This window comes from Homo sapiens, chromosome 15, assembly GCF_000001405.40.
Source record: "Homo sapiens chromosome 15, GRCh38.p14 Primary Assembly".
NCBI lineage: Eukaryota > Metazoa > Chordata > Mammalia > Primates > Hominidae > Homo > Homo sapiens.
Genome location: NC_000015.10, coordinates 71,719,928 through 71,743,991, shown reverse-complemented (window position 1 = coordinate 71,743,991; position 24,064 = coordinate 71,719,928). Strand labels below are relative to the sequence as shown.

General features: G+C 44.9%; 1 protein-coding gene across 10 annotated transcripts in view; it reads right to left on the bottom strand.

Moving 5' to 3' along the window:
* THSD4 (thrombospondin type 1 domain containing 4) overlaps nt 1-24,064 on the bottom strand; it is a 686,490-nt gene that overhangs the window by 39,392 nt on the left and 623,034 nt on the right. For all 10 annotated transcript variants that reach the window (NM_001394532.1, NM_024817.3, XM_047433080.1 and 7 more), the window contains 3 exons: nt 15,268-15,443; nt 12,775-12,871; nt 5,985-6,260 (listed from right to left, as the gene is read on the bottom strand). In NM_001394532.1, the coding sequence (NP_001381461.1) occupies nt 5,985-6,260; nt 12,775-12,871; nt 15,268-15,443 (549 nt within the window). The remainder of the gene's footprint in view (nt 1-5,984; nt 6,261-12,774; nt 12,872-15,267; nt 15,444-24,064) is intronic.

The following is a 24,064-nucleotide window of genomic DNA, read 5'->3' as shown; positions in this document are numbered from 1 at the left end:
GCCAGTATACAACTCCTGCCGGGAAGAACACTATACTTTATTCTACAACTCTGTCTTATCTCTGTTGCTAATTGGCCAGGCATTCATATTTTCTGAAGTTCCAACTCCTTACAATTTTAACTGCAACATAGGGGCTATCTTTTAACATAAACATCTTAATATTTCATCAGTCATGAAAGTGTTTCAGTGGTTTTTCAAGCTCATCTTGTATGACACACTGACCCAGAGGGTAGTAAGAAACTTGACAGTTTGCAAGACAGTGTTGAATCTGAAACGATCATTTGTTTAAATTACCCTGGTAGTAAAAATTTACAGTGTGGCTATAACTTGAGACCATTATTTAAAATAACGTTCCAATTAAGCACAATTATTGGCTGAGTAAAAGGCAGTACTGACTGTAAAGTTAATGGGATGCAAAGAACTTTTGTGGAATTAAAGTTTGTCCAGCTACAGATCTCCTTCCATTAAATAGAACAGATTTTTAATTAAATTCAACAAACATTAAGTACACTGTGCAGTTATAAAGGTGAATACATGGTTCACAGCTTGCAGTGGGACCCGGCTATTAAGGGATTAAGTAAAGATCTTATTTAGCCTATTCCTTTTCCTTCAGACCATGCGGGTTTAGCTTTTCCACTTAGATGTTTGTGGATAGGAAAGCAAAAGGAACTATCTCAACCACTTGGCACTCAAATAAGGGAGAAATCAAATTTTTTTAATCAAAAGGATACAGGCTCCCATAGGAATGCTCTGTGTCTTGGGAAGATGGGTCCTGCTGGGGTTGTCCAGCACCTGGCCACTGCTTGTCTTCCCTTGACATTTTACGGCGTTTATGGACATTGTCCATGGTCCAGCTCCACGGAAATGAACTCAGAGGCCCTCTGGCTCTCTGAAGGTGGGAAAATGCCAGATCTACAAATCTTTTTTTATTTTTTTTGAGACAGAGTTTAGCTCTGTCACCCAGGCTGGAGTGAAGTGGCACGATCTCTGCTCACCACAACCTCCACCTCCCGGGTTCAAGTGATTCTCCTGCTTCAGCCTCTCAAGTAGCTGGGATTACAGGTGCCTGCCACTGCGCCTGGCTGATTTTTGTATTTTTAGTAGAGATGGGGTTTTGCCGTGTTGTCCAGGCTTGTCTTAAACTCCTGACCTCAGGTGATTTGCCCACCTCGGCCTCCCAAAGTACTGGGATTACAGGCATAAGCCACGGCGCCTGACCCATATCTACAACTCTTGAGTCTAGTGACCGCAGTGGTTTCCTTCTTTGGGTCAGTTTTAATATATTTAGAAAGGGAGACAGCACCTGGCCACCTCCCATTGTTCAAGATTGCAATTCAATTATTCCTCTATTTGCTAGCAAGCAGGAACAAGGTGGTGAGGTCAGGCACTGGCTGGGCTTCAGGCAGCAGGAAAACTATTCGAGATCAGTTCGGTTGCCTTATATGCGGACATGTTGATCAAAATAGAAATATGTCATGTTGAAGGGGGGAACTGTACACAGGTAATTAGCAGATAATAAATGAGGTCAGTGAATTCAGGGGCTAGTGTAGAGGTCAGTGGGACATTATGGAAGAGAGACAAAATAAAGAGCAAGAAAAAAGTAAATGACTTTAGACTTGGAACTCTAGGAATCAAATGAAACAAGCCAAGAGTTTGACAGAGGCCTGATCAATGGCTGTGTGAGTATGGACCACTCTTGGATGCCAGCAACAGGGCCCTTCCCTGAGATGGTGATATCATGATGCTGGAAGCACTTAGACAAAGGGAAATTTGACCATGAAAAGCACAGAACTGTGTGGTGTGGTTAGCTCCACCAGGGAGGACTGGAGAAGGGTTTAGGCGAGGGTATGTGAGAAAATACACAATGGGATCACAAGGGGAACAGACTTATTCTGTGCATAAGTGACTTGGACAATGCCGGGAGGCTTGGGATTTCCTGGTCACTTGCCATGACTGCTGACGACCATTAGATGTGCTCTGCATCTGTGCCTCCGCATTGCCTCACCTACCCTGCATGTCTGGTGCCATCACCGCCTGGGACAGAGCAAAGGAGAGGCCTCCACGGGCCGCTGCCACTTGTCACTTGAAAGAAAAAGGAACTAGGATTGCCAGAGAAGGGAGGGATGAGAAACAACACATCCCTAGGTTTGCTTTATTTCCAAGGCACCTCTTCAGTATCTCTTGGGCCTGAGAACTGGTGCCATTTACTGGGTAAAGAAGAGCTAGACATGTCGCCTCAGACATTCTGAGTGGCAGATGCCGAGTGTGTGTGTGTGTGTGTGTGTGTGTGTGTGTGTGTGTGTGTGTACATGCACACATGGGTGTATATGGGCTAAATATTGAAAATGGGTCCTGTGCATGCTCAGTCCCATACCTCACACTCTTGTGAATTTCTGTGTGTGTGTTTCTGCAATGCAAAGGACAGAAGATTAAACAAAATCATATGGAAATCTAGAGAAAGAGATTGTTCAGTTTTTTTGTTTTGTTTTGTTTTGTTTTGAGACGGAGTCTTGCTCTGTTGCCCAGGCTGGAGTGCAGTGGCATGATCTTGGCTCATTGCAACCTCCGCCTCCTGGGTTCAAGCAATTGTCCTGCCTCAGCCTCCCGAGTAGCTGGGATTACATGCATGCATCACCATGCCCAGATAATTTTTGTATTTTTGGTGAGGACAGGGTTTTTTGCCACGTTGGCCAGGCTGCTCTTGAACTCCTGACCTCAAGTGATACACCTGCCTTGGCCTCCCAAAATGCTTCGATTACAGGTATGAGCCACCATGCCCGGCCGCTTATTCAATTTCTAACAGGTAAATCCACATTCTTTATGCTATGTTGACAGAACATGGGAAAAGGCAGTAATAGACTTGTATATCTAGGATACAATAAAGATGTAAAATCTACCCTTATGTCTTTTCTAGTAGCTCATATATTCCGCATTTGAAATGTGGTGATGATATAGTCACTTATTCAAAAAACACAGGAGTGCCTACTGTGTGCTTGGTATGATGCCTGGTGCAGAAGTTGCAAAGTGTATATTCATGGAGACAGCCAAGCCAAGCAGGGCTGGGACAGAAATGTGTCCTGAATTGCTGTGAGGTCCCAAGGATGAAATGCCTACCTGTTCTTTGCAGAATCAGGAAGGCTTTGCAGAAGAGGTGGTCTCAGAGCTTGGAGTACGAGCAGGACTTTGCTGGCCAGATACCAGAGTGTCGTAAAGGAGGGATACTAGCATATAGTGAGGTAGTAACAGTTATGTTTTGCCTTCAGTCTATCAAAACCTTGCTTTCTTTAAATTTCAACTCCATACCTCAGTGTGGATGACACAGCGTGCGGATGGGTTGTGGGGGCAAAAACTGGAACATTTGGTTATGAGTTTGCTCCATTAGAGAGACCGTGGGAGCGTCTGGAGGAGACACAGGGAACCAGCACATGCATTTGCCCTCATCTCATCCTGCTCACAACACAAGGCCTATGGGCTCCGGACAGGGTGAAAGAGAATCTTCTCCACATGGCACCCTTTGTTGAAAACCACGCAGTGACAGCTTTCATCCTTTTTATGACTTTCCCTATTTTCACCTAGTTCTGAGTGTATCTGGTTCCTTTGATGGGCATCACACATTACCTAAAGGTAGAATATTTCAATAATAATACATTTTGATTTCGGGTTCCTATATCAATTATGTTACATACTGCTTACCTCTATAATATCACAGAGTCTCACCAAAATGGTTTTGGCCTTAATGCAAAAATATTTCTAGCTTTCTGACTCTGTCAAGACATATTTTATATGCATTTAATTTTTCCTCACAAAGTATATAAAAGAAGTTGGTCCAATGAATCTGCAGTCCAGATTCTTTGCACATTTATTAAGTATAAGCATAATAAAATTTGCACAATAAAACCTCTATAAATCAACACTCCAGTTACCAAATCATTATGGAACTGCAGAGGTTCCAGGCAGGAAAAGCTCCAGCCCCCAAGAAGAACCAAAGACCTAAATTCTATTCTCAAAAGCCACTAAGCCAATGCTCTTATGAAAAAGATAAAAACTTTAGAAGCTGTCATGAGATTTTTCAGTGTGCTAATTTTGTGAGAGGTTCCAAACTTTGTACTCTTAGATACCAGTATCAAAAGAAAAGAAAAGAAAGGAAAAGAAAAAAAAAAAGCAAAGCAAAGCAAAGCAAAAAAAAAAAACCACCCCAAACCAATGCTCTGGGACATCACACAGTTCCCCAGTTTGCAGAGATTCCTGGGGGATACAGCCTTCCTGTTTCTTTAGCAACCTCCCCTCAAAGAAGAGCTGTTTCAGGGGATAAAATAGGACTTTACTACAAACAGGAGGCTATTATCATATATATGAAGGAAATTATAACTACACAGTTCATAGGTGTATCTTTGCAATGAGTCAGCTTGAAACAGAAGCAGCATTGATTTCCAATCTGGTATGGAATGTCAGATAAAGGGTTTCTGGACAGCACATTCCACATGTATCTTAACTTTGGAGTTTTCAAGGAAACGGGACCCTGGGTCCACTTCATCATCCTGATGTGACCCCTGTAACACTGCCATGTCTTGCTTTCAGCCTATCACAACCCTACTTTATTTAAATTTCACCTAAACTGTATCCTCCCAAATCCTACAACTCTATCTTTTCTTTTGTTTGGAGAGACGCCCCATGCTTCCTCCGGTGTGTGGACTCCCTTGTGGTGAGGGGTCAATAAAGCTGACTTTGTTGGGCTTCAGGTTTGTCCCTGGTGGTCCTAGCTGATCAGGTTGGAATAATGAATGAATACAGGGTTGGGATTTTACCGGGATAGTATGGGAGCTGTGAGTGTTGGTCAGTGTAAAAGCCAGCTAACACGCCAAGCCTGCAAAGTTTTGTTTTTTTTTTTTTTTTCTGAAATCCTGAGATTTGAGAATGAGTTTCAACTGGGATTTGTGTAAGTCTTCCACAACCCTGACTTGGAGATTAAATTTTAGATCTTGAAGTACATGAGTGTATTCCGTTTATTAATGAATATATGTGCACAGCAGGCCTGAGTTGCTCAAACCCTGCACATGCCAAAGACAGGCCCTTGACCAGCTCCTGAGAGAGAACCTCTAAGCCCTTGGAATATGCCACCTGATAAGAGTGTTTTTTTATGCTGAGGTCTTGGGCCACGCAGTATTGGTTTGGCTTCTGGGATGGTAAAGGGAGAGTAGCTAGTGTCACTCATGTGGGAGCTGCATACCTAGACGAGAGACCCCAGTAAAAACCCTGGACACCAAATCTTGGGTGAGCATCTCTGGTTGGCAGTACTTGGCATGTGTTCTCAGCCTCTGAATTACACCATTTCTGAGAGAATTAAGTGCATCCCTGTGTGACTCTGCTGGAGGCAACACCTGGAAGCTGGCGCCTGGCATCTCCAGGACTTTGCCAACACACCTTTTCCTTTATTAACTCGAATCCCTATCCTTTGACTGTGATGAATTGTAACAGCTCTTCTGGGTCTCGTAAGCCCTTTGAGCCAATCATTAAACCTGAGGGTGGTGTTGAGGGCCCCAATGCAATCTGTCACACCCATGAGCCATCTCATAGACAGGCTCACAGAGGTGAGGGTTTGCCATTTCCCTTGGGCCAGGGGCCCCCAATCGACACCAGTCCATGGCCTGTTAGGAACCAGGTCGCACAGCAGGAGGTGACTGGTGGGTGGGCGAGATCAGTGGTGGCGTTACATTCTCATAGGAGCGTGAACCCTATTGTGAACTGTGCAGGCAAGGGATCTAGGTTGCATGCTCCTTATGAGACTCTAACTAATGCCTGATGATCTGCGATAGGGCAGTTTCACCCAGAAACCATCCCCCAACCCCGCCACCATCCATGGAGAAATCGTCTTCCACGAAACCAGTCCCTGGTGCCAAAAAAGCCGGGGACCGCTGCCTTGGGCCACCCACACACTCCTTGCTTAGGGTTCTGCAGGGATCCACCCGTCCCCCACACAGGCTCACCTTTCCCACAGGTCGTGGAACATTCTGTTGTCCCAAGCTGCTTCCAGTTGTGATCCCGGCTGCGCCGTGGGGGCTGCGGTGCTGGTGGCACCAAGTTGTCCGGTCGATGGGGAGAAAATCTGTCTGGATGCCTGACTGGGAAGGTCTGTGCCGATTCTGAGGTGAACATCTCAGGGGCCTCCCCACGCAAGTCTTCCTTCTCCTCGTTCCTCCCTTTCTGTTCTCCCTCCTCCTGGCTCCTGCCTTCTGTCACCATCTGGCCATTGAAGGGTTCCCCTAGGAGAGGTGAGCGTGCACACACAGAATCAGGATCAGTTTAGACCCTGAGTTGTAAAGAGGAAATTGCTTCGACATTAGAGACTGTGTAGCATGAGATCGTTTCTAAGTCACAGCACATAAGCACATCTGTTTAAAATAAGCAGACACCTACTAGTGCTTTCCCTCACATGCAAAGCACTTTTGAAAATCAATAAGACAAAGACGAACACTGCAGTAGGAACAGGAATTGTGAGCCATAGACAGTTCACATAAAAAGAAACACAAACAGCCAAAACCCATACAAAAATCCTCAACTTTACTCATAATTCCATAAATACACATGAAAAGAACACCACCACCTAACACCAAAGATTGGAAAGTTTGGAAACCCTTAAATCCCTAAACTCCTTTTGAAGGTGCAGGAAAACACACTTCCAGTCACTATGGATGAGCCTGCAAATAGATCCATGGTTTTGGAGGGAAATCTGGCATTATTTATCCAAATTTGAAATGCACATACCCTTTGACCTAGCAATTCAGTTTCTATCACATCTGTTCCGCAAATATTTTCTTGTACATAAATCTGAATATACAGGTATGGTTACTGAGGTATTATTTGAAATAGCAAACAGACACAAATGTTCACCAGTGGTACTGGTTAAACTACGTTATGCTACAAGTACAAAATGGAATACTATGTGAGTTTTGAAAAGAATGCAGCAAATATAACGTTCCGACATGAAGAAATGACAATATTGTTTGGTGAAAGAAAAAAGCAGAACACACACACATACACACAGGTGTGGCAGGTCACTTTTTGAGATACTAATTTGTGTGTGATTTACTATCTTTATTCCTCCACTTCCTCCTCCGGTTTGAAAGAGTAGCCAAGTCCTTAGATGTTATTGCTTTGTTTTTGTGCAGGACAGAAAACAAAAGCTGCTAGAAGTCAACAGCTTTCCCTTCCAAGAGTGCAAAGCCTAGGCTTTCATTAAGGGTAAAGTGGATGTCCCTGAGGGGCCAGCCCAGAGAGAGGAGGAGGGCACATTTTGAGAGAGAGAGAAAGAGAGAGAGGAGAGAGAGACAGTGGCAGAGAGCAAGGGAGAGAGAGAGCAAGTGAGAGAGAGACAGAGAGACAGAGACAGAGACCAAGAGAGCAAGAGAGACAGAGAAACAGAGTAAGAAAGAGAGACAGCGAGAGAGAGAGACAGAGAGCAAGAGAGACAGAGACACAGATAGAGAGAGCAAGACAGAGACACAGAGACAGAGAGTGAGAGAGACAGAGAGGGCAAGAGAGACAGAGAGCAAGAGAGAGACAAAGACAGCAAGAGAGCGAGACAGTCAGAGAGCGAGAGAGACAGAGTGCGAGAGAGACAGAAACAGAGAGCAAGAGAGCAAGACAGAGAGTCAGAGATAGAGAGCAAGAGAGAGACACAGACAGAGAGCAGGAGAGACAGAGAGCGAGAGAGACAGAGTGTGAGACAGAGACAGAGAGCAAGAGAGATGGAGAGAGAGCAAGAGAGAGACAGAGACAGCAACAGAGAGACAGAGAGCAAGAGAGAGACAGAGTGTGAGAGAGACAGAGACAGAGAGCAAGAGAGACGGAGAGAGAGCAAGAGAGAGACAGAGACAGCAACAGAGAGACAGAGAGCAAGAGAGAGACAGAGAGCAAGAGAGAGACAGAGAGATAGAGACAGAAAGCAAGAGAGCAGGAGAGACAGAGAAGAGAGACAGACAGAGAGCAAGAGAGACAGAGAGGGACAGAGACAGAGAGCAAGAGAGAGAGACAGACAGCAAGAGAGACAGAGAGATAGAGACAGAAAGTGAGAGAGACAGAGAGCAAGAGAGACAGAGAGAGACAGAGAGACAGAGACAGAAAGCAACAGAGCAGGAGAGACAGAGAGCGAAAGAGACAGAGAGCAAGAGAGACAGAGAGATAGAGACAGAAAGCAAGAGAGCAGGAGAGACAGAGACAGAGAAGAAGACAGACAGAGAGCAAGAGAGACAGGGACAGTGACAGAAAGCAAGAGAGACAGAGAGCAAGAGAGACAGAGACAGAGACAGAAAGTGAGAGAGACAGAGAACGAGAGAGAGACAGAGAGCAAGAGAGACAGCAAGAGAGAGAAACAGAGAGCAAGAGAGACAGAGAGCAAGAGAGAGAGAGAGAAACAGAGAGTGCGAGAGAGACAGAGAGCAATAAAGAGAGAGCAAAAGAGAGGGAGATGGTAAGAGAGACAGAGAGGGACAGACAGAGAGCAAGACAGAGAGCTAGTGAGAAAGAGAGAGAGAGAGAGAGAGTGAGAAAGAGAGAGAGAGGTTTTCAAGATGGAGGAGAGGTAGGAGTCTGGAGTCTTGGGTTTCCTGAGTGCCATGGATCCTTAGGTGTACCAGACAATGTCCAGTGTCCCAGGAGGAAGCCACCCCTGCAGCGGGAGAGGGGGCCTGGCTGCCAGCCTCACCAGCTTCCTGTGCCCCCCATGCAGACTGGAAGGAGCAGAGCCCTAACCTGAAGGCCCCATGAGGCTGCTCCCGGTGGCACCTCAGCGGAATTAGTGTGGACAGACCACCAGGGGGGTCTAGCCAATGTTTTGGCTTGTCTAAGACTCTAGATCTTTCCTTATATCTGGAGTGAGAATATGTGTGTGTGTGTGTCTGTGTGTGTGTGTGTGTAACCCCCAAGCAGACTGCGATTGAATTATCTACTGGTTTCAAAGAAGGGTGAAGTTGAGGTCAGATTTAAACTGACTAATGGAAAATAATAATATGCAATATTCCTTGCACATCTGAGATTGTAGATGATGATTCAAATGGCTGGAAACATGTTTGTGTATGCATAGAAAAGGGCTAGGCAAAATCCCACCAAAGGGTTAGACTCCCTCTGGGAAGGGCATGGGGTTGGGAGCTGTGGACTTTTTTTTTTTTTAATAGGCTTTTTTTTTTTTTTAGAGCAGTTTTAGGTTCACAGCAAAAGTGAGTAGAAGTACAGAGTTCCCACACACCTCCTCCCACCACACAGGCACAGGGTCCCTTACTACCATCATCCCACATCAGACTGGTACATGTGTAACTGATGACCCTACACGGACATGTCATTATTGCTTAGAGTTCATAGTCCATACGAGGGTTCACACTTGGGGGTGCACATTCTGTGGGTCTGGACAAGTGCACAGTGACATGCATCCGCCAGTGTAATATCACACAGAGTAGTTTCACCGCCCTGAAATCCTCCCTGTTCCACCTTTTCATCCCTCTGTCCTCCCAGCCCCTGGCAACCACTGACCTTTTTACTGTCTCCATAGTTTTAACTTTTCTAGAATGTCATATAGTTGGAATCAAACAATAGGTAGTCTTTTCAGAGTGGCCTCTTTCACTTAGTAATATGCATGGAAGGTTTCTCCATGTCTCTTTGTGACGTGATGGCTCATTTATTTCTAGCCCTAAATAATATTCCATTAGTTTTTGTCTATCCACCTACTGAAGGACTTCTTGGTTGCTTCCAAGTTTTGGCAATTATGTGGCAGTTGCTTTTGACTGTATATATTTCTATTTTGACTGAATATTGTTCAAGTATGTCTCATTTTAATAGAAAATAAGGAGGCAAATTCTAGGGTTACTGTAGAACACAGTTAAAACTACAAGGGGGCTGGGTGAGGTGGCTCATGCCTGTAATCCCAACGTTTTGGGAGGCTGAGGCAGGAGGATTGCTTGAGCCCAGGAGTTCAAGACCAGCCTGGGCAACATAGCGAGACCCCATTTCAGCAATAACAACAACAACAACAACAACAACAACAACAACAATTAGGGCTTTCTCAGCAATTTTTTTTTTTTTTTTTTTTTTTGGAGACAGAGTCTCACTCTGTCACCCAGGCTGGAGTGCAGGAGGCTCACTGCACCCTGTGTCTCCTGGGTTCAAGTGATTCTCGTGTCTTAGTCTCTTGAGTACCTGGGATTACAGGTGAGTGCCACCACATCCAGCTGCTTTTTGTACTTTTAGCAGAGATGGGGTTTTGCCATTTTGTCCAGGCTGGTCTCGAACTCCTGGGCTCAAGCAATCTGCCCACCTCGGCTTCCAAACGTGCTGGGATCACAGGCGTGATCCACTGCACCAGACCTCTCAGCTTTTTTGCCAGGGCTTTCTTACTTAGTTGGTTATTATGCTTCATGGTTTAAAATATGACATGCAAATATGACCAACAAAATCAGGACCAGGCATGTTGACATAAATGAGAACTGTCCAAGATGTTGTTGGACAAAAAAATTTAAGAAGTCTTTTCAGTGCCTTGTTCTGGGCTCTATGCTAGGATGGACAACTAATTTATTCAATCTCTTCCCATGTCCTCTCCCCTGCCAAAAACCACCTTATAGGGTTTTTCTTCTATTTTGTAGACTGGGTGTGTGTTCAGAGAGGTTGCTGACCCGCCTGAGGGTGCACAGCAAAAAGGTGCAGAGCTGGATTCCAACTCTGCCTCCAGACTCCATTGACATGGAAGAGGAAGCCTGGTGACAATGCCCCTGCTTACCAACTTTTTACAGGTGACCCCTCCAGGCCTGCCCTGTCCCAGGGAGCTGATCCCAGAACCCCCATGCTATTCATGAGCTGAGCCCCATCAGGCCTGACAGAAATCATCATCATCCTGATAGATTTCAAATAGTCTGTCTGATTATCCCTGTAAACCAGCAATGGACCCCAGAAATCTTACCCAAACTTGGTTTCTCAAACTGTGGATTGCTTCTGGACATGACATAAAAATTCTCTGTTGTGCTGAGTTTGCTGACTTGGAGTTTGGACAACACACCCACCCCATGTTCTGGGGATGCACCCAGCTGTTGTCCTCCCCAGTCTGTAGCAATCAGATAACCTGGTTATCCCGTCCAAAGTTCAGAGAAGAATGGATGGGGCGGGTTTGGCACTTGTGCCTTTATTTCCTCCTAGGGTAGGGATTGGACCAAGTAACCTCTCAGTGATATAACAAGCACAAAGTATGGTCACACAGGCCCTCCTCAGGTCACTGCCCAGGTGTGAGATCAGGACAATTATTAACTTACTCTTCCTAAGCTTCCATTTCCTTACTCTTAAAATAAGGCTAATAATAGTACTTCCCTCCAAGTACCTCCCTCTGTCATGAGAATTCAAAGAACTAATCTACGCAAAGAGCTCAGCACAGCAGTTTCTAAGCCCTTGCACACAGCAAGGACTCAATGTGTGTGAGCTATAATTACCATGAATACTTCTGCAGACCTTCCTATTTTAAGGAAGGAAAAGACTGCCTGCATTTGGGTGGTGGGCTCCATCATCCTCCGGTAGAGAAATGTCTGCAGACTCAGAGAGCAGTCCCATGCCCAGTGCCAGCCGAGAGAAAGCTGCCTGCTCTGTCCATAAGCAGAGCCCACCAGGAAGACTCAACATGGATTGTTAGGTGTGAACTCATTATTCTTGTCTTATAGGTCAAAGTATTATTAACAGAAACAAAAGGGGAACCAAGAGAAAAGGCATATAGTAGACAGATAATGGCCCCCTAAAGATGTCCACATCCTAATCCCTGGAATCTGTGAACATGCTACCTTACATAGCAAAAATGGACTTTGCAGGTGAGACTAAATTACAGATTTTGAGAAGGAGAGATTATCCTGGATTACTTGGGTGGGCCCAGTGTAATCTGAAGGGTCCTTATAAAGGAAAGAGAGAGGAAGATGAGAGTCAGAGAGGAGATGTGATGAGGCCAGGGTCAGAGAGAGATTTGAAAGTGCCACCCTGCTGGCTTTGAAGGTGGAGGAAGGGGCCAGGAACCAAGGAAGGCAGGTGGCTCCTAGAAGTTGGAAAAGGCGAGGAAGTGGGTTCTCTCCTAGAGCCTCTGGAGAGAGAGGGGCCCTGATGACACCTTCATTTTGTCCCAATGAAACCCACTTCAGACTTCTAACCTCCAGAGCTCTAAGAAAGTAAATTTGTGTTGTTTTTTCTTAATTTTGAGATAGGGTCTCACTCTGTTGTCCAGGCTGGAGTTCAGTGGTCTGATCACGGCTCACTGCAGCCCCAACCTCCTTGGGCTCAGATGATTCTCCCACCTCAGCCTCCTGAGTAGCTGGGATTGCAGGCACACACCACCATGCCTGGCTAATTTCTGTAATTTTTTTTGTAGAGACAGGGGTTTCATTATGTTGCACAGGCTGGTCTTGAACCTCTGGGCCCAAGCGATCCACCTGCGTCGGCCTCCCAGAGTGCTAGGATTACAGGCATGAGCCCCCTTGTCTGGCCTGGAAACTAGTATAAAGCATTTCAAATGTTGAACTGGCAGGGCAGACCCAGGATGCTCATGCCATTTTGGAATCGAGTGAATGAAACAGTCTCATCAGTGAAGGCTCAGACAAATGGTGAAGCCTGCTCCAATGTCAAGGCCCCTTGGCTTTGAAATATGCGTCCCTCAATTTTCTCTGTGTTGACCGAGAGACAGAGGGTGGATGCACAAGAATTGAGAGAGAGAAGGCTTTACAAGGAAATGACCAGAGTCCCCGGCCACAAGACAAGGGATTCTACCTGGTCTCCTGTGGGGTGGCACCTGGGGGCTGATGGCGTTGGTCCCCATGATCACGTACTCGTAGTGCACGCCTGGGTTTGGCTGCTGGTGTATCATCTGCTGACACAAAAATCAGTGTTACCGCACTTGGCACGTATGCACACCCCTTCTGGGTTTCAATGGCATTTGCAGAACTACTGAGAAATGACTGGGTTGGTTCACTCTAGTACGCATCCAGTAATATCAGTGAACCTGTGGCAGATTAAACAAAGTTATTCCTGGATGGCTTTTTGTCATTTACTTTTGAAGAATGAAGAACTTAGGCCGAGCAAATCAGAAGAAGACTAAGCTAAGAGTCAAGATTTTCTAAACTCCAAAGGAGAAGATGGAGCAACGGTAGCAGAACCTTTCTGTCCTTAGATTTTGCTCAGTGCTCTTGAAACATCCAACACAGATAAATACGTGTACACTGCAGGAGAACTGTTTTAACACTAGGTGGCGTGACAAAGTCATGCGAACAAGCAGCAGACCTCCTGGACAGAGCCACCCCGGGATGCTTTAGGTTCCCTCAAAGTTCTTGACCTGGCTGGTGAGGCTGGCCCCCAGGTCCCTCCCTCTTATTCAGGGAAAGCCCCAGAAACACAAAGACATGGGGCCAGGAAAACAAGTAGAAGCGACCCAACTCTTGCTGGGTCATATTCTCTTAGGAATGATGACAAAAATAGGATGGCAAGCAGGAATCTACGTAGGACTGTGGAAGTCAGCAGCTGAACATTGTCTGGGCTGAAAACATATTAAATGAGCATGGCCCAACAGAATACGTCCCTCCCTATTGGATTTAGAGCACACAGTCTTTGCTGCCCATGGATTTCCTGATGGGGAGCAGGGTGGTGGGCTAAACCCAGCAGCAGAATGAGAATCCACAGTGTAAATATGAGCCGTGCAAGGAGACACGGTCGGGTTTGATGTTTCTGTCTCTGCTGCTTTATAAAGCAGCTCTCCTATTGACCAGCTGTGTAACCTAGAGCAAGCCCCTTCACCCTGCAGTTTTTGATTTCTTCCTTGGGGAAGGAAGAGGTTAGAATCATGTCACTTTCAAAGGTCCTTTCCAGCTAGAAGCATCTCTGAGTCACTCCTGCATGGTGGGTCCTGTGTCTATTCTTCCTGTTTATGCCATGATCTCTTGCCACTCCCTACTGATGAAATGGGTCTTCATTTTATAAATTACCCAAAGGAAGGCAGACCTGAGAACCCCTGGGATTCTCCTACCCAGGAACCAATATCAAACCATCGGCGTTGCAGAAACGTGGTGGGCACTGAATCCCCAAGGGACACGGTTGTGTGACCTCAGGTTCCTGCTGTGTATCCCTCATCCCCTCACTCCCTTTTCACACAATCTTCCTCTCGGTCTGTGGCTGGAAATCCTCCCTCCCTCTCTGGTGCCTCTTCTGCCTGAGCATTCTGCCAGTGCAAAACCTTGTCCCGTTTATGAAATTGCTGTTGGCTTCCATTCCTAGACCACCCACAGTAGGCCTTTAACAACCTGAGTTTTTACCTCTGATGCCATTTAAAATATATTCAGATTCAACCAACCAACTGGACAGTCTAAAAAAAAAATCCAAAATAAACTACAACAAGGCTTCCTTTGTAATTTCGAGTCTACTAGGCCCAAGAGGAAAGGACATAGAACTGTGTGTAGGTGGAGAAGTAATGACAATGCAATTAATAATATTTCTAAAACTCTGACACAGCAAATATGTTAATCAGCTCAGCTTTGGGGACAGAAATAATGTGTATATTCATGGGTGATCTCAATCTTTTTATCAAAATGTTATTTCAAGCTTTTATGTCTTATCACCCTTTATTTCCTGGTCTTTTAAGAAGATTGAATTCTAGTGGTTTCCTTTGAACGTAAGGACCATTTAAAACTCTTGAGCAATTTAATATCTTAGTTTCACGTAAAAGAAATTAAGGTTTTGTCTTCTATGAAGCAGGGAGCTTCTAGTAAATCTCTCTACTGTGACTCTCAGCTTTATTGTTTCATCTGGAGGGCTCTGGAGCTCTCCTTTCTTCATTTGCTCTCAGAGTCTGAACAGGGCTGGGAGCTGGGAGCGGTCCTGCCTTCCTTTAGGCTCTTGCTTTCTTTTGCCATAAAAAGAAAACATGCCAAATTAGCAGTATAAGGAAAGTGCCTGGAGGAGATCCAATGCTCATGAAATAAAGGGCATGTTTTGCCTCTGATTTGGTTCAACAAGTAAAATTGGTTTTACTGGGTCAATAAACTCCGAAGGTAATAAGCATCTGGTGGAGTTGGAGGTTGCTGTGAGCTGGGCCCATTCAGAAGTAAAGGCAAAGATGAACGCCAAGCATTCAAGGAGTGCCTCCAACAGGCTCTGCTCAAAGGGTTTTTATTGAGTATGGGCAATGATTTGTTGCTTATTTGTTCAGAGTATGTTCCTTAGAAGTGACAAGATTCAAAATCCAAAGAACAGTCCAGAAACATCCAAACTCACGTAGACATCCAAGATCTCGTTGGTGGGACCTTCCGCCAAAAAGGACTCTCCGGCAGTGCTCGAAATCTCATTTGGACGCTTGTAGGTGAACATGGTCCCTCCGCCCTCGTATTTTCCTGGTCGATCAATTGCCCAGTTCCCATTGATGATGGAGCGTCCAGAACGACTTCTCAGGGCTGTTGAGAAAAATCAGACAGTTCTTTGGGTAAGCCCAGGGTGTGCACAAGAAACAGAACTGACTCCCCCAGTTTCTGGCTTCTTCATTCATCAAGGTTTTTGACAGGATCCACTATGTGCCAGGCAATGATCCAGGCCCTGGGGCGCCATTAGGCATCTAGATTACATCCCCTTGGGCTTAATCACTGCTTCAACCCACCCTAATCCCTTCTATCACTTGGACTTAGTATAGAAATGTAGGGTGGGGGCTGGTTAGGTGAAAAGGATGTGGAAAATGGGAGGGAAAGGAGAAAGAGGAGGAAGAGAAAAAAGGGGGGAAGGGAAACGTATTTATATTATATACCATTATCTAGGTGAGAGGTTGCACGCTGGCAGCCCACGAGCTGATTTTGGCCCATAAATGGGTTTAGTTTGGCTTCTGTAGTGTTATTAAAAAAAATAACTGAGCCCAAATTTAAGAATTGAAATATTTCACATAAAAAATTTAAGAGTTCTGGCTTCTCTTATAAACCAGGAAGACATGTTAACATTGGCTTCACACTCCCTCATGGCAGCAATCGGCTGGAGCCCAGGATGGCTGTCCCTCTCAGATGGACCCTATATGCTCTGATTTGCCCCAGTCCCCACCCCTCCCTGTTGCCCCCCAACACTGAGGTTAAGTCTCAGTTTATTACCCCTTTATTTATGAATATGGGTGATTTATATCATTTATCATACTTGCATTGTTCTTTTTCTTATCCAATTTTTTCTCCCCTCCCAGCCCTCCCCTTTTTTTTTTGAGACAGGGTCTTGCTCCATCGCCCAGGCTGGAGTGCAGTGGTGTGATCCTGGCTCAGTGCAGCCTCAACCTCCTGGGCTCAAGGAATCCTCCTGCTTCAGCCTCCTGAGTAGCTGGGACTATAGGCATGTACCACCATGCCTGGCTTGTGTGTGTGTGTGTGTGTGTGTGTGTGTGTGTGTATATATATATATATATATATATATATATATATATTTTTTTTTTTTTTTTTTTTTTTAAGAGATGGGGTTTTGCCATGTTGCCCAGGCTGGTCTCAAACTCCTGAGCTCAAGCGATCTGCCTGCCTCAGCCTCCCAAAGTGCTGGGATTACAGGTGTTAGTCACTGCACCTGGCCCAGAATTTTTCTTATAATTCTCTCTACTTACATGTCTACTACAAGTGGCAAAGCTAAAGCTAAGAGGGTCACATGATTTTCTCATGTACCTGGTCAGCTTCATTCACTTCTATGACCTTCCTGAGTTCCTGGGCATCTGAGGCTGTGGGCTGTGTTAGATACCGCACGTGCACTGTCAAATTTAATCGTCACAACATTGCACAGCAGATGTTATAATCCCCATTTTTCAGAGTGGCTCAGAGATGGGAGGGAACTTGTTCAAGTTCATGAGGCCCATAGGGGTCAGACCTGTGATTTCTAGTGTGTACTCAGGAGGCGGGTACGAAAGGAGAAGGGGGCAAGGAACAAGGTGTTGGAGTTAACAGGAGAAGAAAGGGTGGCATCTGGAAATAGAATTTCTTCAGCTACCCTTGGCACCTGGAAACCCACAATCCAAAGGAGGACTGGTTTAGAGAAGGTACCTTTTTTTTTTTTTTGAGATGGCGTTTCGTTCTTGTTGCCCAGGCCGGAGTGCAATGGTGCGATCTCGTCTCACTGCAACCTCTGCCCCCTGGGTTCAAGCAATTCTCCTGCCTCAGCCTCCTGAGTAGCTAAGATTACAGGCATTCACCACCATGCTCTGCTAATTTTTGTATTTTAGTAGAGACGGGGTTTCACCATGTTGGTCAGGCTGGTCTTGAACTCCTGACCTCAGATGATCCGCCTGCCTCAGCCTCCCAAAGTGCTGGGATTACAGGCGTGAGCCACTGCGCCCAGCCGAAGGTCCTGTTTTAAGTGCTATGTACATAGTGGACCTGTGATGGCCACTGGCTCTTTGCACCTTCGGTTTATAGAATTCCTAAATTTAACTTTTTATAATTTGTTATGGAAAAATGTATACATATGCAAAAGTGGTGTGAACAATATAATAAACCCCCATGTACCCATTGCTCAGCTTCAACAAGGATCAGCTCATGGCTTCTCTTGTGTCACATTGCAAATATGTATCCTTCAACTTTTCAGTAGGTACCACTAAAATATAAGAACTTTTTCTTAAACTCATTTTTTCAGCCGCGTTCCTACAATGGGCCTTCCCAGAGCTCTGGCCTGTAGAATCAGAAACTGCACAGAGGGGCTGGAGTGGCCCAAACTCCAGCTGGGCTCCCCCTGCAGACTCCACACTGGGCTGGCTGGTGCCATGGCTGCAGGGAGGGCAAAGCTGCAGACCTTTCACTACTGAATTACAAGATCAATTCAGCTTACTGAGTAGCAAAAAAGGGTCAAGGGTGGAAACTGAGGAAGAACAGATTTGGGGCTATTCTCTATGAAGAATCACACTTCTTCAAAAGTGGTGCGGCTGGGCACGGTGGCTCATGCTTGCAGTCCCAGCACTTTGGGAGGCTGAGGCGGGCAGATCACCTGAGGTCGGGGGTTTCAGACCAGCCTGAACAAATGGAGAAACCCCGTCTCTGCTAAAAGTACAAAATTAGCCAGGCATGGTGGCGCATGCCTGTAATCCCAGCTACTCAGGAGGCTGAGGCAGGAGAATTGCTTGAACCTGGGAGATGGAGGTTGTGGTGAGCCAAGATCGCACCATTGCACTCCAGTCTCAGAAAAAAAAAAGGAAAAAAAGTGGTCCATATAATGTCTACCATTTTCTCACTTCCCACTAATTCCTCAACCATCTCCAATCTGGCTTCTGCCTCCATCATTCCATTGAGGAAATTTAAAATTAGCTCACCAAGACCCCCATGTTGCTAAATCCAATGGGTGTTTCCCAGGCCTCCTCTTTTCAGATGTCTCGGCAGCACTTGGCACTATTCCATCCTATTTGAAACACTCTCACCCCAGCTTCTGGGAACCACACTCCCCTTGCTTTCCTCCTGCTCTCAGGCTGCTCATTTCTGTTTTCTTTTCTGTCTCATCTTTCTCTACCTGGCTATTAAATATCAGAATTTCTTAAGGAATAAGAGTAGACCTGCTTTGGGCACTATATTCCTTTCATGAGCAATTTCCTAGGACCATGATTTCAACTACCATATGTGAATGACTCACAAATTTATGTTGACAGGCCAAACTTTGCCTCTGGCCTTAGAATTTCATATGTAATTACCTCCTTGCCAGCTTTAGTCAGATGTCTTGTCTAAGGCTGAACCCAACCCCGGCCTCAGTGTTTCTTATCTCAGTAAATGGTACCACCATCCATGTAATCAGAAACCCAGGAATCATCCTGGATACCTCCTCTCTTCCTATCCCCCCAAATCTAACCCGTCATCAAATCTTATTTAATTACCTCCTTGCCAGCTTTAGTCAGATGTCTTGTCTAAGGCTGAACCCAACCCCGGCCTCAGTGTTTCTTATCTCAGTAAATGGTATCACCATCCATGTAATCAGAAACCCAGGAATCATCCTGGATACCTCCTCTCTTCCTATCCCCCCAAATCTAACCCGTCATCAAATCTTATTTAATTACCTCCTTGCCAGCTTTAGTCAGATGTCTTGTCTAAGGCTGAACCCAACCCCGGCCTCAGTGTTTCTTATCTCAGTAAATGGTACCACCATCCATGTAATCAGAAACCCAGGAATCATCCTGGATACCTCCTCTCTTCCTATCCCCCCAAATCTAACCCGTCATCAAATCTTATTTAACCTCCTCCGCCTCTCTTCATGTCCACTGTCATAATCCAGGGCCAGGCTACCATGAGATCTCATCTGGACTAATAAAATATCTTCTAATTGATCTTCCTGTTTCTCTTCTGTTCAGCTAGAACAGTATTTTCAGAATGTAGATTAGATTACCAACGATGGCTCAAAATTCTTCAATGGCTTTCTATTGCTCTAGGCAAAAAAGACTGGGCGTAGTGCCTCACGCCTGTAATCCCAGCACTTTGGGAGGCTGAGGCTGGCGGATCACGAGGTCAGGAGATCAAGACCATCCTGGCCAACATGGTGAAACCCCGTCTCTACTAAAAATACAAAAAATTAGCTGGGCGTGGTGGTGGGCACCTGTAGTCCCAGCTACTTGGGAGGCTGAGGCAGGAGAATGGCGTGAACCCAGGAGGCGGAGCTTGCAGTGAGCCGAGACCACGCCACTGCACTCCAGCCTGGGTGACAGAGCAAAATTCCATCTTGGGGGGAAAAAAAAAATATATATATATATATATATATCCCATCATAGAGGCCTCCTCCCCCAGATGCTGCAGCCCAGCCTTATCTTGCATCACTGTTCTTCTCTCTGTGCTCTGCTCCTGCGCCTTCTTTTAGCCCATCTACAACATCATCTTCCCTCCACGGTGCTGTCCCTTCTTCCAGAAATGCTCCTCCCTCAACTCCAAGTTCTATTCATTTTTTTTTTTTTTTTTTTTTAAATAAAGACAAGGTTTTACTCCTGTTTCCCAGGCTGCAGTGCAGTGGCACAATCATGGCTTACTGCTCACTGCAACCTCCTCCTCCCAGGCTCAAGCAATGTTCCCACCTCAGCTTCCCACAGGTGCGCACCACCACAATCGGTTAATTTTTGTATGTTTTGTAGAGATGGGGGTTTCACCATGTTGCCCAGGCTGGGTCTTGAATTCTTAAGCTCAAGCGATCCTCCTGCCTTGGCCTCCCAAAGTGCTGGGATTACAGGTGTGAGCCACTGTGCCTGGCCCTATTCATTCTTTAGATGTCAATTTCTCCAGGGCAGTCTTCTCCCACCCCTAGTCCAGCCCCCTCTCTTCCCTGCCATGCTCTAAGGGATGCAAGAAACTTTCCTTCAAGGCATTTAATTCAGTTTAATTCAGTTTGTCCATACACTTACTGAGAGAATTATTTGATCAATGTTTGTCTCCTAGTACACTGCCAGCTCCAAAAGATTTCATCTCCATTACAGTTTGAGAGTCTAGCATAGTGCTCACCACATAGTAAGAATTGAATGTTTACACAGTAGACAAGGGCAAAGAGCTCAAAAGAAAAGCAAAGAATAATAAATAGGCAATTCACAGAAAACCAAGTACAAGTACTCCATAAGCAAATGAAAAGAGGCTCTGCCTTACTTATAATTCAAGAAATGAAAATCAAAGCCACAATGGGATCATCCTGACCATCCAAATTAGCAAACATTTTAAAAAATTTAATATTGCAAGTATTGCCAGGTGGGTAAGCAAGGAAGTATTGATGGCATTGCTGGTAGGAATGTAAACAGACTCAGCCATATTGGAGGGCAATTTGATTACATGGCTAAAACTTGAAATGCCCATACACCCTGACCCAAAAACTCTACTTCTAGGAAACTACTTGAGAGATATACTTCTATGAGTATACAAAAATGTTTCTAACAAGGATATTATCTGCCCATTTTTTTTTAAATAGAGAAAAAAAAAACTAGCCTAAATGTCCATCCATAGAACGTTGCTTAAGATGGTTCTAACACTGGCCATCCACACAATGGAATACCAAGTGACTCGAAAAAGAATGAGCTAGGTCGGTGTGTGTGGGTATGGAAAGAATTCCATTATACATTTGTGAATGAAAGAAAAATTCAGAACAGTGTGTTTGGTATAATCCCGTTTGTGCACACTTTTAAATAAAAGCATAGACAGAAAATATATACATAAAATGTTTAGAGAAGGATAGTCACAAAACTATTAACATTTGGGACAGGAACTGGGGTTTATGTTGAGATGGGAGATAAGAAGGGAGACATTTATTTCTCATTTGATATCTCTTTACTGCCCTTTACAATTTGTTTTACCATATGCATGTATTACCTTCTTTAAAGTTTAAACATTTTGAATCAATGTAACGGACATGGTACAAGCAGAAATACTTGTGAAAGATATTTTCTCTTTTTTATAACTTCTTCTTACGATCCCATTCACACATCAAAAATGCAGAATTGAGGTAGGTTCTGGCCACGATTTTATTGCTTTTAATGGGAATATCGTAGAAGAGGTTATCATCTGGTAACTAAAAAGTCCATTAAAGAACCATTTGAAAGACAGCACAGGAGGAATCTGCAAGGACCTCCCTATGAGATTAAAAATTGGTACCTTGAATCTTTTTACCATCTATTACTATTACTCACTCATTCTCTCTAAAGGTTTGGGTTAATCTTGAATCATACAATAGCAAATAATTTTTAAAATGCCACAACAGATTATTAGCAAATGTGGTCCTGATTCCATAGGTCCATGAATTGGCTTCTGAAACAGCTCAAAAACTAGCCCCCATCTGGCCTTGCATATCAAAAACAGCTGCGGCTACAATTTATATGCCTGCAAGCAGTTCCAGGGCTAGGAATGGCATCCAGAACTACCTCACAAAAAGGTGCAGGTGGCTCCTGGCTTTTGCTAGACGCTGTGTTCACTGAAGGTCAAGCTTTAACAAAGCCTGTTTGAAGGGCAACCTCATGGCTATGTCAATATAAAGATACCTTCACTCTCATTTGACATTTGGGTTTTATTCCTTTTTTTTTTTTGAGACAGGGACTCACTCTGTCACCCAGGCTGGAGTGCAGTGGCACCATTATAGCTCACTGTAACCTCGAACTCCTGGGCTCAAGGAATCCTCCTTCCTTGGCCTCCCCAAGTGCTGGGATTACAGGTGTGAGCCATCATGCCTGGCCCCTTATTCCAGTCTTGGTGCTGGGCAAATATTTTTGGCCTAAACTGTGGGTACCAACAATGCCATTCTCCAAGATTCATATAACAAGAGCTTATATATGCAAGCCCTGATTATCATATACTTTAATCCCATAATCTTTTATTTATTTAGGTTTTTTTTTTGAGACAGGGTCTCACTCTGTTACTCAGGTTGGAGTGCAGTGGCACAATCTCAGCTCACTGCAACCTCTGTCTCCTGGGTTCAAATGATTCTCTTGCCTCAGCCCCTTAAGTAGCTGGGATTACAGGCATGTGCCACCATACCCAGCTAATTTTTTTTTTTTTTAAGACAGAATCTCGCTCTGTCACTAGGCTGGAGTGCAGTGGCACAATCTCAGCTCACTGCAACCTCCGCCTCCCAGGTTCAAGTGATTCTCCTGTCTCAGCCTCCCCAGTAGCAGAAGCTGGACTATAGGCGTCACCATGCCCAGCTAATTTTTGTATTTTTAGTAGAAACAGGGTTTCACCATGTTGGCCAGGATGGTCTCGATCTCTTGACCTTGTGATCTGCCTGCCTCGGCCTCCCAAAGTGCTGGGATTACAGGCACAGGGGTGAGCCACCGCACCTGGTCTTTTTTTGTATTTTTTAATAGAGACAGGGTTTCACCATGTTGGCCAGGCTAGTCTCAAACTCCTGATCTCAAGTGATCTGCCTGCCTCGGCCTCCCAAAGTGCTGGGATTACAGGTGTGAGCCACCATGCCTGGCCATAATCCCATAATCTTAATGCCCATTGTGATGATGACCCAACCACTTGTTCCTACAACCAAAATAAAGAAGCTGGTTTCCTTACAGGAGACACATGACTATGATCTAAATGTTTGTTTCCTTCTTTGAGAAATGAAGGTGAAGTTCTTCCTAGTTTCTGGCTGGGAGATAGGTTAGCTTAAAAAGAAAAAAAAGTTTCTCCTAGCAACAAATCGCAAGCTTTGCAATGCTTCAGCAGTTCTTGGAAGCTACGGTAAGTAGCCGAACAAACCGAATACTGAAGTGTCAGACATCATTGGCCACCAGTACAATGCCAGCTGGAGGTCAGAAGCCTGGCTTCTTTGCCATTTCTGGTCTAAAATATGAGCTTCCATGGAATCCCACACATGGGCATGAACCCAAATGGGTCTCAGAATGTGTTAGCTAATGTGGATACCCTGAAAATGAAATATAACTCTTCCTGTACTGCCTTGGTGGGTTCTGTGAATTCCATCCTTCTTTTCACTAACCTCCAACTGAAATTTAGCATTTCGTTTTATTATGAATGTGGTAACACCCATAATAGTATGCAGGACTGTGACTCTATCACCAACGGAAATCATATAGATATTCATGGGACTTTACAGAAGTTACTGATATTTTGAAATATTATTTAAGAACTCATAACTATTTTGAAATTATGATAATTATTAGATCTTCTAGGAGTTCTCCTATTTTAATGTTAAAGAAGCATATGGCTGGGCACAGTGGCTCATGCCAGTAATCCCAGCACTTTGGGAGGCCTAGGTGGGCGGATCCTTTTAGCCCAGGAGTTCAAGACCAGCCTGGGCAACATAGGGAGACCTTGTCTCTATCTAAAGTAAAAAAATTAGCCAGGAGTGGTGGTATACACTTGTGGTCCCAGCTACTTAAGAGGCTGAGGCGAGAGGATCCCTTGAGTCCAGGAGGTTAAAGCTGCAGTGAGCCGTAATTGTACCACTGCGCTCCAGCCTGAGAGTGGGACCCTGTCTCAAACAGAGTGGGACCGTGTCTCAAAAAAAAAAAAAAAAGAAAAAAAAAAAAAGCACATGTTATTACACAGCAAATTTGTTTGTTAAAGAGTATTTTGATGGCCGAACGCAGTGGCTCATGCCTGTAATCCCAGCACTTTGCGAGGCC